At 48.3% G+C, this 14,101-nt stretch overlaps 1 pseudogene, besides 3 other annotated features; it reads left to right on the top strand.

Annotated features, from left to right (window-relative positions):
• Nucleotides 75-839: an enhancer, noted in NCBI's record as "H3K27ac-H3K4me1 hESC enhancer chr10:71527262-71528026 (GRCh37/hg19 assembly coordinates)". NCBI's record gives its function as "activates a minimal SCP1, AML or CMV promoter by ChIP-STARR-seq in primed H9 embryonic stem cells {active_cell/tissue: H9 hESC(primed)}" and the evidence as "EXISTENCE:reporter gene assay evidence [ECO:0000049][PMID:30033119]".
• Nucleotides 840-1,603: an enhancer, noted in NCBI's record as "H3K27ac-H3K4me1 hESC enhancer chr10:71528027-71528790 (GRCh37/hg19 assembly coordinates)". NCBI's record gives its function as "activates a minimal SCP1, AML or CMV promoter by ChIP-STARR-seq in naive and primed H9 embryonic stem cells {active_cell/tissue: H9 hESC(naive and primed)}" and the evidence as "EXISTENCE:reporter gene assay evidence [ECO:0000049][PMID:30033119]".
• Nucleotides 1,604-2,367: an enhancer, noted in NCBI's record as "H3K27ac-H3K4me1 hESC enhancer chr10:71528791-71529554 (GRCh37/hg19 assembly coordinates)". NCBI's record gives its function as "activates a minimal SCP1, AML or CMV promoter by ChIP-STARR-seq in naive and primed H9 embryonic stem cells {active_cell/tissue: H9 hESC(naive and primed)}" and the evidence as "EXISTENCE:reporter gene assay evidence [ECO:0000049][PMID:30033119]".
• On the top strand, nt 11,459-12,465 carry RPL5P26 (ribosomal protein L5 pseudogene 26; annotated as a pseudogene).

Below are 14,101 nucleotides of genomic sequence, written 5' to 3' on the forward strand. Positions count from 1 at the left end.
TGGGAGAGGGGGTAGCACAGGGCAAGGTGGCAAAGTCTCCAGTTAGTGCCAGGCACAAAGTTTCCCAGGGGAGGAGGCATTGATACAAAGCAGGGAGAATAAACCCAGGGGCATCACCAACTCCATTTTGAATCCCAGATCCACCATTCACTAGCTGTGCAACTCTGGACACATGACATAACATCTCTAAGCCTCAGTTTCCCTACCTGTAAAACAACCCCTTGCAAGGATTTGCAATAACTCATGGGAAGCGTTGGACACTCAGCGAGTTGGGAGCTACAATGGAGCCATTGAAGCAAGGACATTGAAGCGGGTGTGGTCAGCTCAGTCTGGAAAGGAAACGTGAGCTATGCAGAGGATGGCTGGGAAGGAGCAGGTAGCAGGTATCAGGGCTCTTTCAGTCTCTCTCACACCCTTGTTGAGGGAGCTGGCCACTGCTCAGACTCCTCTTGGCCAGGGGCTCCTGAGGACCCAGGCCGAGCCCAGCTCAGCCAGACAAGCTCTGGCAGAGGCCCCACTTTCTCCTCCAAACAATGTTGTTCTCCCAGCCAAGGGCAGCAAGAGGTGGGCCAGGAAGCTGACAGCACCAGGGAGGCTTCCTGGCTCCCCTGCCCTGCCCAGCCCAGCCCTCCATGTTGGGGTACATCCCCCAGTCTGGTCTGGCTGCCAAAGGTCTGTAAGGCAGAAACAGAGTTACACCACCACCGCCTCTCACGTCCTCAGCCTCCAGCTGGTCAGACTCTCGGGAGGGGCCTGGCAGCTCAGGTGGCTCTGCACCTTCTGTCCTTGAGCTAAGGGACCCCAACGAAGGCAGAACTGAGTCACTCTCCTCTTCTTCAGGCAAAGGCTGGGGGCTGAGGGCTCTGGCCTCGGGTTCCCTCGCTCATCTCAGAGGCTCTGAGACATAGAGCCCCTCTCAACATGGTCCTGTGAGCGTGTGCATGGAGTGTACACGTGGACATGTGTGTATGTGTGTGCATGTGAATGTATGTGTGAGGGCACACATGCATGTGTGTGAATGCGCATGTGTGTGTGTGAATGTGCACACAAGGATGTGGATGTATGCACATGAGTGCATATGGTGCATGTGTGGGCAGGGAATCTGGAGACTGGAGCTTCCAGGGCTGCTGGTGGCTGCAGCAGGCTGAGGGTGATGAGTAAGCTCACCTCCTCTTGCTCTCCTGGCATCCACTGAGTCCCAGAGTTGGGCCATGGGTGCCGTGGCGACCCAATGCATGAGAAAGACCCCATCTCTCCCTCTTGGGGTCACGTTCTGGTGAGGGGAGACAGGAATACACAAATAAACCAACAACACGATGTCAGAGAATAATGCAGGGTGAGAAGAAAATGGAATGGGGGCTGTGGTGGGCATCCTGTCCTTTTCTTCTTCCTCCTCTTCTCTGATTTTGGGAGTGCAGCATGGAATGAAAAGTGAGGTATGAGAGCAAGGGGGTGATGAAACACTTCGGCGTGGTGGGTGAGGGGTCCGGGAAGACCCACATGCTGACGCTTCCTGGCCTTGTCAGCTTGTCCCCCAAGACACTCCCCTGGGATGAAGGACAGGAAGCCCAGGTCTTGCCCCTGAGGTCTGGTGGCCCTCGCTCCTACCAGGCAGAGCTGCCATCCTTGGCTCGTCCGGAAGCCAAAGGCATCCCCACTCTTCCATTTCTGAGTCTGGTAGTTTGCTGCTGGGGAGAAAAATGAAGAAGAAGGAAAAAGGGGAAAATCCCATTTCAATTCTTTGGTCAAAGCACAAGTTTCTCTCCTCCCTTTCTTCCCTTCCTCCCTCCCTCCCTTTTTTTTCTTTTATTTTCTTCCTTTCCCCCAAGAGTAGAAAGAACCAGGGAATATAAACAAAAACGCTCTTAGAACAAATCAGGCCATCTTGTTCCCAAATCCCAGGAAACTCCTAGAAGCTGGGATCTGAGCAAAGGGACAAACGGAGCTGCAAGGCCAGTGGGGGTGGGAACTGGGCTGAGTCAGGGAAGGTCTGTGGGTTCCGCGGAGCCCCCAAAACAGCTGCCTTTTGGGGTCCAGATGTACTACCAGAAGGAAGGTCCAAGAGAGGCCAGAGGGGAGGGCTGAGGCTGCCTGGAGCTCACTGCATTCCTGCCAGGGTGAGTCACTGCCAGGACGCCCTGCTGTGCCGATTTGCAGCAACAGCCTTGGTGTCCCAGGACTCTTGGGCCCCCTCCAGATAGGTTCCTCCAACCCACAAAGAGCTCTCCTTTGCACATCGATGCCCAAAGGACTGTCATAATCACTCAGCCCATTTATGGCTTTGTTTTCTTCCAAAACGTAGCCCCCTGCAAGGAAAAAGCCCCAGCCATATCAATCATTTACTCTTTGATATAAATGAGTCATCCAGCCCTTTTCCAATGGCAGGTTTGAATGAGAAGAAGAAACAGAGCATGAGGACGCTGCATTTCACAGAGCAAGGGACCCCAAGGAAGGCATGGACCTTTCGTGGAGGTTGGGGGTTGCATGAGGGGGAAGATCCAGAAAAGGCAGAGGAGGAGCTGGACACGGCATCCTCAGACTCAGGGTGGGCCAACACCGCCCTGAATGAAACCAAGGCTTTGCAAGACCAACATAAACCAGAGCTCAGCAAGTTTATTTTCTCATGAAGAGCGAATTCTGTGAAAGACAGAGCTAAGTCTTATCAAGCACTGACTAGGTACCAGGTACCTCCCAAGTGCTGTTCCTGCAGTAAAGGAATTCTCACAACCCCCAGAGAGAGAATGGACACTCAGAACCGGTTGGAGCAAGAGGCAGCGCTGGGAGAGGGATCCGCACCTGCCGCTTCTGGAGAGCTTGCTTTCCCACCACACTACGCAGCCTCTGGAACCAGGTTGTTTGCAGCACAGGTGGGCTGATTCCAGGGTCTTATGACCCTGCAAGGCTGGAGGTTGTAAGGCTTAGAGATGGGAAATGACCTGACCAAGATCACACAGCAAAATACCACATGGGCACCCCACAGCCTCACTGCTGCCCAGATTGGTATAGCAAGCATGCCCTTGTCTGAGTCACTAGTGACTTGCTATTGAATGAATGAATGAACCAACAAATGAAGAAATGGGAACAGAGGCTCAGGGAGGTTCCATGTCTGACCCGAGGGCATATGTTTGGGATTCTCAGGGCAAGCCTCCTCAGAACCAGCTGTCCCAGTCCTGCCCAGCCTCTATACAGCACTTGGCTTCTTCTCCTAGCAATTCTCCTATTTTGTCACATTTGAGTTCACAGCCTCCAGAGCGACGTAGGGCCTTGACTTCCTGTTCCTGATGGGCAGGAAAGGTCATGCAGCTCATTAGTGGTGGTGAGGTTGGTGCTGTGTCCCCATCTCTAGCCAATCATACCAAACAGTGGTTGGTCTCTGTGACCCTGTCCCCACCATGCCTGGACTATGAAATCAAAGGGGTTTTCTTGACCCTAAAGGACAGTCAAGCCTGATTCAGGAAGAAGGGCTTGGACATCCACCCGTTTCTCCACGGCGTGCCTCCCCTTTCCAAGCAGCATTTTAGCGTTGTTCACCCAGACCTTCAGACTTCATGGCCAGCTCATTAAGGGATCATGGGTGCAAACAGCCTGTTGACCTCAAGGGAGAAAGTAGAGGGTTTTCCAGGAAAGGGGTGCTGGTGAGAAGATCTCCTCTCGCACTTGTGGCTCAACTTCAGTGAGTTGGATGCCCAGAGGCACTTCCTCTTCAGGGTGTTGGTGCCTCCCTGTTTCCTGAGCTATGGCAGCTCAGAGGGGCAAAGCAAAGGTTTCCAGCCTAGAGAGAGCAATGCTGCACCTTTGCCAGCCGTAGCCCATAGCTGCTTATTCCATCTCACCAAAGTGCAATCAACAAGCACTCACTGGGCACCTACTGCATGTCAGGCACTGTAGTGGGCCCCCCAGGTCCAAAGCTGGGTGAGGAACCAGACTGCCCAGGGTCAGTCTTAGGTTCCCAGCCAGGCTATCAGCATATCATCCTGATGGCAGGGACCACCTTCCATCTCTCCTAGCATCATGCACTGGGGCGGGACTGGCCTCATGGGGGAGGCCAGTATAGAAAGGATGATGGGTTAGATTGCATTTATCTCCATTGTTGAAGGGATTTCTTTCAGACATCTTGAGTTCTTCCAGCCTAAAGCCTGGAGGTTTTTTTGACTGTGGAAGTGCACAGGGAGGGGGGGGGTCTTGGAAGGAGCATGGGATCTTGGAAGGAAGAGACCAGAGAAAGAGCTTTCTCACTAGAGCACAACAGAGAGGTTAGGAGGGCAGGCTGTGGAGTCAGACAGCCTTGTCTGAAACCATGGCTTCTCATCAGGCTGTGTGGCCATAAGTGAGTTACTGAGCCTTGCTGAGTCTTAGTCTCCTCATCTGTAAAATGAGGACAATAAGAATACTTCCCTCATAGAATTGCTGTGAGCCTGAACAGAGCTAATATGTGCAAGGGCTTAGTTCAGTACCTGGCACATATTGAGGGCTGGATAAATAGGAGCTATTATTTTCCCATCGGAATAGAGGAAATATTCCGGCCCCAATGCCATCACTGGATATCAGGCCTGAAGGCACCCTCCAGAGCAGTTATTCCATTATGGCCATTCTACAAAATGGAAGACTGACGCCCAGATATGGGAAGCTGCCTGCCAAAGGTCACATGAGTTGCTAATAAAATGCAACATTAGGGTCAAAATCCCAGTCTGCTGACTCCCCAGTTGGTGCCTTTTTCACTCTCTTTTGCCCAGAGTTGGTAGAGTGGACTCAAAGAACCCCTTAAATCCATATCCCAGGCCCCCCTTCTTCTCCAGCTCCCAGCACAGTGGGGAGATTGGTGGGCTGTGCCCCCTCTTCCCCTGGTAAGAGCCTCAGAAGCTGATTCCACTCTGAGCCAAGGAAGTCTGGAGTGTGCAAAGGTGTCTCTCCAGGCCCTGAAGCCAGGAGTGACATCAGCAAGGCACAAACATCAAGGAGCAGCAGCTCCCTTCCTGGAGCTCTAGTCCCCACCTCTCCCAGCCTACCTCTGGTCCATCCCCATGGCTGTCTGTGCTAGGCTTCTGGGAGATGAAAGGAAGCCAGACATTAATGGTGACAGGTGAGGCAGTCATTGTGCCTCTGGCACCTGAGCACAAGCTTCCCTCCCAAGATGAGACTGCGGAAGCTGGCCTGAAGCCTGGGCTCTGGGCTGGGGGTCCCATCACGGGGCATTTGGCACCCAAGGGAAATGTGGGTACAGACAAAACATCCCTTCTTGCACCTGGAGTCTTGTCTCTGGCCAAACCTTTTTCCTGCTCCTTCTCCCTTGCCACCACCTCATATTTGTCAAAATTCCAGCTTGATGACATGAAACTCACACATATGGCCAAGGAGGAAGCAGAGGGAGACATGGTTATCATCAGCCTGGTCCATAGGAAGTGGAGAGTCAGCTTACTGTCTTGAGGAGCCACTAGCCCTGAGTGCTAGTGTAGGCTCTGCACAAATCCCCCATGTGGCCTAGGACAAGTCAAAGCTCAACTCTGGGATTGTCTCTGCAGCCAAAATTCATTTAGAGGCTCCTCCAGGGCCAATACTCTAGTATTCTTTAATGACGCCTGCCAGGAAGCCTCAACTGATAACCAAATACTAAGCCCTCAACCCACGCTGTGTACCTACTAACTGCTTTACCCTGGTCTTCTGGCAGGATAGGTATATCAGCTAGCTAGTGCCTCAATAATGCTGCATAACAAATGATCCCAAACTCAGTGGCTTAACACAAAAATCAGTTATTCTCAAGGAGGCTGGCTGTGGCTCAACTAATCCAGGCTGGGCTTGGCCAAGGGGCTAGGCCCTAGGCTGCTTCTTGTTGCAGGTCTCTGGGTCAGCTGGGGACGTTCTGCTCCCAGAGACACTGTGTCTCTCATCCTCCCAGGACAAGGAAGTAGCTAGGACATGCTCCTCTCATGGCAGCTATAAAAGCAGAAGAGGAAAGCAGGCACACAGGAAGCTTCCCAAGGAGCCAGTAAATTTTCACTTCTGCCCAGAGTCAAGAAGCAGAGACACAGGCTCCACCATGACGATGCCGTGGCAAGGCCTGGCTGGCGGGGCCAGTGAAGATCGGTGCCGGTCATCCAATCTACTGCATGAAAATGATTCAGCCTCTTTGATATGGAAGTCAGATTTTCCTTTCCTTTTTTATTTCTTTGTTACACTGGAAGAGATGTAATACAAATATGTCCCCTCACTTCCTCATTTGAGTCTTCCAGAGTTGAGTATTAGGCCCTCCTTATCATCAAGCAAAAGAAATGAGTTTTTCAATGTCTGGGAAGGTTGTCAGGTGATAGAAGTGAAGAGAGGGTTTAAAATAGGGAGGGATTTCCCCAGAGTCTAAGATCAGAGGTTGGGGAAAGTTTGGAACCCAATTTTGGGAAGGTTGCCCAAGAAGAGTCAAGTGAGCTGACTTGGCAGGAGGCTTCACTGAGAAATAATGTTTGGGGGTCCAGGAGCCACATGGGCCCTGAGACACACCTGACAACCTAAAAACAGGGAATTCCCATCACTCTGGTGCAGGCCAACAATGATTGACCCATGACTTTGCTTGAGTCCCTTATGAACTGATCATCAGTCCAGAGAGAAACAACCCCCCAGGCCACTGGGCTTTGCTGAGCTGATGGCTGATGAAAATCCCATCACCTACCCCCAAGGTACATAGGAGGACGTCTGCCCCATCACCGGTGGGGTCTAGGATAAGCATACAAATGGGGTCCCACATGCCATATGCTAGAAGTTTTCTCCTCACCATCTGATTCAAGCTGGGAAACATCTGTCTCCAAGGGGCCTCCCAGTCCCCCACCTACAGGGGCAGTCCAAGAAGGCTAAGGCATGGCCCTTGCCTGCTCAGAGTCCTCTACCCAGATGGGAAACCTAGCCTATGTTCAGGAAGCATCAAAAAGCCACATCAGAGGAAATGTCTCCTTAGAGCAACCAAAGACCTTCACAAGGCATAAGTGATCACCAGCATTAATGGAAGCATCGGAATGTGAGGACAGAGAATCGGCGGCGCATGGAGCTCCTTCGGGTTATTTGTTCAACACCTACCTCAGGCCAGGCTCTGTGAGAGCACCCGGAGCCAGTGTTGAATGAGATGTGGTTTCTGCTTCCGAGATACCCACCATCTTAAAAGAGAGCTCCAGGGAGGCTTCATGGGCGGGAAGGGATTTCACCTACATTTGAAAGAACAGGAAAAACTGGGGTAGACAGAGGGGGAGGTGGATGCTTTCCAGGCAGTAGAACGCAATCCCTGGAAGGAGAGAGGGACTTCCTTCCACAGGAAATTTGGCTTGCAAGAGTTCCACAGGAAAGGGTGATGGGTGGTTAAAAGGAGTGCCCTCTAATGGTGACATTTTGATAAGTATGGCAACTAGAGGAGAAGGGCCTATCAGATACCAACCATGCCACCCACATCCACAGTCACCCCCCTGTGTGGTTCTGGTCCCTGCTGATGGTCATGGCCTGGACACATGTTTCAGCAAATTCTCAGGTCCATGTCATGCTCTTTCCACATTTTTTCCTCCTAAAGCCATGGTTTCTGCTTCTGGAAATATAATCCCCCTTCTGAGAGAAGTGCTATGGAAACCTCACCACAAATACACTCCCTTCCCTGATGGTACTAATTGAAGGAAAGGGCTGGTGGAAAAATGATTTTACCGAAACACAGTTTTTATTATTTTTAAGTTAATCCACTTACTCGAGTGAACTAACCACGAGGCACTCCACAGCAATGGTTTGTAGGGGACCTGCTGGAAGAGATTGATTGCGGATTCATTCAGTCATTCAACATTTTACTGGGCAGCCACCAATGGCCAGAGGCTGGGGTACAAGGTTAAGTCAGTCTCAGTGTCTGCCCTTAAGGAGCTCAGTCTGAGAGGGAGATAGACACATTCCCATGAGTATCAAGCAGAGTGGTCACTACAGCAAGAGCCCTGTGCATGGAGTATTACCAGAACACAGAAGAGGAGAACTGAACAAGGTTGGAGGGTGGGGTCACCAGGGAAGGCTTCTAGGAGGAGGAAAATGGGAGCTCATGCTTTTGGAGGAATAATAGATACTTACAGGAGAAAAGCGGGGCCGGTAGGATGGAGCCGGCTGAGAGATAACCTGTGCAAGAGTCATAACATGCAGAAAGGCCCAAAGGGGAGGAAAAGTGGGATTAACCAAGAAAACACTCCCAAATTGGAGTTGATGGGATGTAACGTGAAGACGGGTAGTGGCAAATGTTGGGTCTGGAGCGGTCAGCAGAAGCCAGACCCTGGAGGCCTGTAAGCCTTGGTAAGAGTTTGGACTTCATCATGTAAACGTGAAAGGTTCCAAGCAGGGGAGAGATATAGATAATTTTGTGTTTTAGAAAAGGTGCTGGTGCAGAAGTGGTATGAAGGATGCATGGAAGCTGGGGGATCAGCTGGGAGTAGGAGAGAAATGTCAGGAGACTGTCCTAGAGAAGTGGTTGGGGGAATGGAGAGAAGGGGATGTATTTGAGAAACACTTAGGGAGCTAAAATAGTAGGTCTTGGTGGTTTTCAGATACAAGGACAGAAGAAAGAGGGAGAATCTTAGGATGAAAGCCAGACTTACAGCATGAGTGGAAGGTGCTACCCTTGACTGAGATGAAGTATTCTGGGTGAAGGAAGTTTAGGAGGGGAAAACTAGGATCCATTTTGGATGTGGGGTTGGAGGAAGCTGCGGGTGGGACTTCCAGTGGCAATGACCAGCCAGCAGGTGAATATCTGGACTCACCCCTATGGAGGAAGATGCAGGCTGGAGTTAAGACCTGAGGGGCATGAGCTTTAGGAAGCACAGAAGGGGAGGGGCCCACCTATGCGTTCATCAAGGTGATGTAGGTTGTGAGGAACAGAACACACTCAAAAGTTGCTCAAACAATAAGATCATTTATTTATTTATTTCATTTGAATACATTTGGAAGTAGGTGCTTAATCCATTTGGAAGTAGCTTCTTCGTCATCTCAATATGATATTGGGGACCCAAATCTTTACCTATTTCAGCTCTGCCACCTCAGTTCATCCGTAAGCATATGCCTTGTGATAACATAGAAGGCAGATGACATACCCAAAGGATGGGTAGCCCCAGGGGAAGAGATTAGGAAACAATTTGTTCACAGATGAAATGCCTGTCTTTGGCTGTGTTTAGTAGGATACAAGAAAGGAATAGGCTCAGAAAATAATTGGCCTGTTAAGAAGCAGAATTGAAAAGGGAATTAAATGTCCACTAGTTAGTGCTTGTGGGGTTGGAAGAGGCAACTGCTTCCTAACCCTAAGGCTGATTTAAACTTATCCTGTGTGGACTTCTGCTGTGGACAATGATGGAATAACAGATACTGGGCCTAGCCGTCACCCACCATAAACAAGTAGAACACTGGATAAAATATATGAAACAGCTGTTTTCAGACACTGACTAACCCTCAGAATGGGACTGTGTTCCCTGAGAGAAAGTGAACAAATAAGATGAACTCCGTGATCAACCTGACTTTTTGGCCAGAGGCATTTAGCAGACCATGGGTCTAGGACGAGGAAGGAGAGCAGAGCACAGAAGCCTCACTGTTTTGAGGGGTCAGAGATCACAATTCCAAGAGCTGTGCAGCTGGAATTTGTGGAGCAGAATACTGAAGAGACATATGCAGAGAAAGAGCTTCAGAAACTGCATAGGAGGCACTTTGAGTCTTTGGCTAAAAATTAGGTGTGCATGAGTAGGATGAGATTCCATGAGGTTGGACAAAGAACAAATATTGGAGAAAGAGTACTTATTTGGGAGTTGTAAGCTGAACAATATTCTGTGCTCAGAGTTGGGAGATGTTCAAGTTCGGGCCAACCAGAGTGGAGAGACCTCATTGAGCCCTCAGAATATTTAGTGGAAAACTCAGAAAGGCTGCACCGTAGGAGTAGAGCTAAACTAACAAGCCTCCATCCTAGAGTGAAGGCTATCCTAGACCCATCTTAAGTTTAAAGACAAGTCTTGAAAGGACCAAGCCAATCTTCAAATAAGTTGCTGGAATAAAACTCAACACTCTTTAAAGAAAGATAACAGGCTGGGTGTGGTGGCTTACACCTGTAATCCCAGCACTTTGGGAGGCCGAGGTGGGCCGAGGCAGGCCTGAAGTCAGGAGTTCGAGACCAGCCTGGCCAACATGGCAAAACCCCGTCTCTACTAAAAATACAAAACTTATCCAGGCGTTGTGGTGGGCGCCTGTAATCCCAGCTACTCAGGAGGCTGAGGCAGGAGAATTGCTTGAACCTAGGAGGCGGAGGTGGCAGTGAGCCAATATCGTGCCACTGCACTCCAGCTTGGGCAACAGAGGAAGACCCTCTCTCAAAAAACTATATCTTTGAAAAAATAATGGCCAAACATTTTCCAAATTTGATGAAAACTATAAACCCATAGATCCAAGACACTCAATGAATTTCAGTCAGGATAAACACAAAGAAAACTACACCAAGGCACATCAAGTAAAAATGCTAAAAACAAATGATGAAGCAAAAAACTTGAAATGCAGCCAGAGAAAAATCTTAGCCTGGTGGCAAGGATCAAATTGATGATATCATTGTCATATCCATTATTGAAAATTGCGAATGGACTAAGAGATGAATCTTTTTTATTAGACATGCTGACTCAGGCAAAGAGACTGGAGGAAATGTGCTCACACCTAAGTCTGATAGGTTTAAGTTACTTACAATAAAGTATGCCAAAACTTACTGGCTTAAAGAAAGTAGAGTTCCCAGCACTTTGGGAGGCCGAGGCGGGTGGATCACGAGGTCAGGAGATCGAGACCATCCTGGCTAACACAGTGAAACCCCATCTCTACTAAAAAATACAAAAATTAGCCGGGCGTGGTGGCAGGCACCTGTAGTCCCAGCTACTTGGGAGGCTGAGGCAGGAGAATGGCGTGAACCCGGGAGGCGGAGCTTGCAGTGTGCCAAGATTGCACCACTGCTCTCTAGCCTGGGCAACAGAGCGAGACTGTCTCAAAAAAAAAAAAAAAAAAGAAAGAAAGAAAGAAACTGGAGGTCAATGTGGACAAGAGAGAGGTTCAGAAAATTTTAAATGTATGTTTAAAATTAAAACTATGGATGAGGCTACTGGTATATGGAATTTTCCAGAATCAAATAGATAAGAAGACTGTTACATTTTAAAGTTAGTTATATTGCACCTTTCCCCTCCCCGCAAAAATCAGGCGCTTAGACTTAAACCGTTGTTCAAGGTTTAACTCTTGGGCTTGCAAAATTCTACAGTTTGAGAAAACTACTCAGCCCCCAAGAAGGGCATATTTTCCATGCTTACCTTATCCCAGGAGGATAATGGGGGGAAAATGTACTTTCCAGAATGGCAAATTGTGTAGCTCCAAAAATCACGCCTGCATGATGACACTTAAAAGCTGGAAGGCAGAAGGAGAGTCTTTCACTCATCTCCCTCTTTTTATCAGAGAGAAACCTTTCTCAAAACACCCAGGAGTGCTGCTGGGCCTGCAGGTCTCTGTCGAGCCTCTGTCCCACAGGATAGAGTTTGTTAAAGTTGTTAAGAATAAGTCCTACTTTAAGAGGTACCAAGTGAAATTTAGAAGAAGATGATAGGGTAAAACTGATTATTATGCTCAGAAACACTGGTGATACAGGATAAAAATAAACATGACACAGCCAAATACAGGATGATAGTTTGTGTAACAAATAGAGATATCATTTGTCAGATTGCTTACTCCCATCTAGAAGGGGATATGATAGTCTGCACAGCATATGCACATGAACTGCCAAAATATGGCATGAAGTTTGGCCTGACAAATGATGCTGCAATGTATTGTACTGTCCTGCTGCTGGCCCACAGGCTTCTCAATAAGTTTGGCATGGAAAAGATCTGTGAACACCAAGTGGCGGTGACTGGAGATGAATACAATGTGGAAGGCATTGATGGTCAGCCAGGTGCCTTTACCTGCTATTTGGATGCAGGCCTTGCTAGAACCGCAATAAAGTTTTGGGGGCACTGAAGGGAGGTGTGGATGGAGGCTTGTCTATCCCTCACAGTACCAAATGCCTCCCTAGTTATGATTCTGAAAGCAAGGAATTTAATGCAGAAGTACACCAGAAGCATATCATGGGCCAGAATGTTGCAGATTACTCTTGCTACTTAATGGAGGAAGATGAAGATGCTCAAAAGGAATAGTTCTGTCAATACATAAAGAACGGCGTAACCCCAGACATGATGGAAGAGATGTATAAGAAAGCTCATGCTGCTATATAAGAGAATCCAGCCTGGGAGAAGAAGCCCAAGAAAGAAGTTAAAAAGAAGAGGTGGTACTGCCCCAAAATGTCCCTTGTTCAGAATAAAGATCAGGTAGCTCAAAAGAAGGCAAGCTTTTTCAGAGCTCAAGAGCGGGCTGCTGAGAGCTAACCCAATTTTGTATGAGAAATTTTCAGATAAAGACTGTAAACTTATTGACAGCAACAACAACAACAACAAAAACACAAAAATCAATAACACCTGGCAGGCTACTCCTCAGGTCCCATTGGCGGAAATTAGATCGTATGACAGTATTTCACCAACATTCATGGAACTTCACGTATAGAAAAGGCAGTCTTACTAGTTCCTAGTAACAAGTTGCCCCAAAACGTTAGTAGTTTAAAGCAATAAGCATTTATTTTGTCACCATTTCTGAGGTTTAGGAATCTGGGCACAGCTTAGCTGGATGGTTCTGACTCAAGCTCTCTTGTGAGGCTGCAGTCAAGCTGATGGGCAGCGCTGCAGTCATCTCAACTGGGGGAGGCTCCACTTCCAAGAGGGCTCACTCATATGGCTGCTAGTTGGAGTCCTTCATTCGTCACTGGCTATTGGCTGGAAGACTCAGTTCCGTGCCAAGTGGGCCTCTCGAGACACTTGAAAGCCTGAGTGTCCTCAATGTACGGCAGCTGGCTTCTCCCAGAGTAAGTGATCCATGAGACAGAATGAGAGAAAGACCAAATGGAAACCACACTGTCTTTTATAAGCTAATCTTGGACATGACATACCATTACTTCAGTCAGATTCTATTGGTCACATTGTCCAACTGGTACAATGGGGGAGGTGGCTATGCAAGGTGAACTCCAGAAGGTGGGCGTCTTTGGTGACCATCTTGGAAACTGGCTACCACAGAGCCCTTGAAGGAGACAGGGAAGACAGCAAGAGACCTCAGGTGAGCCTAAAGAGCCTGTTATCAAAGACCACAGAGAGGAGAGTTCCAGAAGAGAAGCATTCAATACTTTTTAAAATTAAAAGTGAGAACCAGAAGCTAAGCATTGAGAAATACTCATTGGATTTGTCAATCAGGGTCATTACATTCAGAGCAGTTATGAGCAACTCCAGTTGACCAGTTTGCTGTGGACTGAGGTTTGAGTAAATGCTGGGCAAGTGGAGAACTGCAGGTGTAGACTACAGGCAACCCTTGAAGAACATGGGTTTGAACTGCGTGGGTCCACTTATAAGCAGATTTTCTTCCACCTCTGCCACCCCTCAGACAGCAAGACCCATGCTTTTCCTTCCTCCTCCTCCTCCTCTTCCTCCTCCTCAGCCTACTCAAAGTGAAGACAATGAGGATGAAGACCTTTATGATGATCCTCTTCCACTTAATGAATAATAAATATGTTTTCTCATCTTTATGATTTTCTTAACATTTTCTTCTCTCTAGCTTACTTTATTATAAAGATACAGTATATAATAAATATAACATACAAAAATATGTGTTCATCAACCATTTATGTTTTAGATGGAGCTTCTAGGCAACAGTAACCTATTAGTAGTTAAATTTAGGGGGAGTCAAACTTATATGCATATTTTTTACTGCACAGTAGGTAAGCACTCCTAAGCACCACATAGTTCAAGGGTCAACCATACTTTTTTAAGAGGGCTGGATGAGACGGGGAGAAGGGATATTTGGATAAAAGCTAGAGGAAGACAGGGGAAGATTTCATTTTTTGGATGTGAGAGCTCGAGTATATTTTTAGGCAGAGGGGAAGCAGCCAGTGGACTGGGAGAGTCCAGTCCTGGAAGATCCAGGAGAGGGAAGGATGACTGATGAGGTAGCCTGTTGGAGGAGGCAGGAGAATTGG

The sequence above is a fragment of the Homo sapiens genome, chromosome 10 (assembly GCF_000001405.40).
Source record: "Homo sapiens chromosome 10, GRCh38.p14 Primary Assembly".
Classification (NCBI taxonomy): domain Eukaryota; kingdom Metazoa; phylum Chordata; class Mammalia; order Primates; family Hominidae; genus Homo; species Homo sapiens.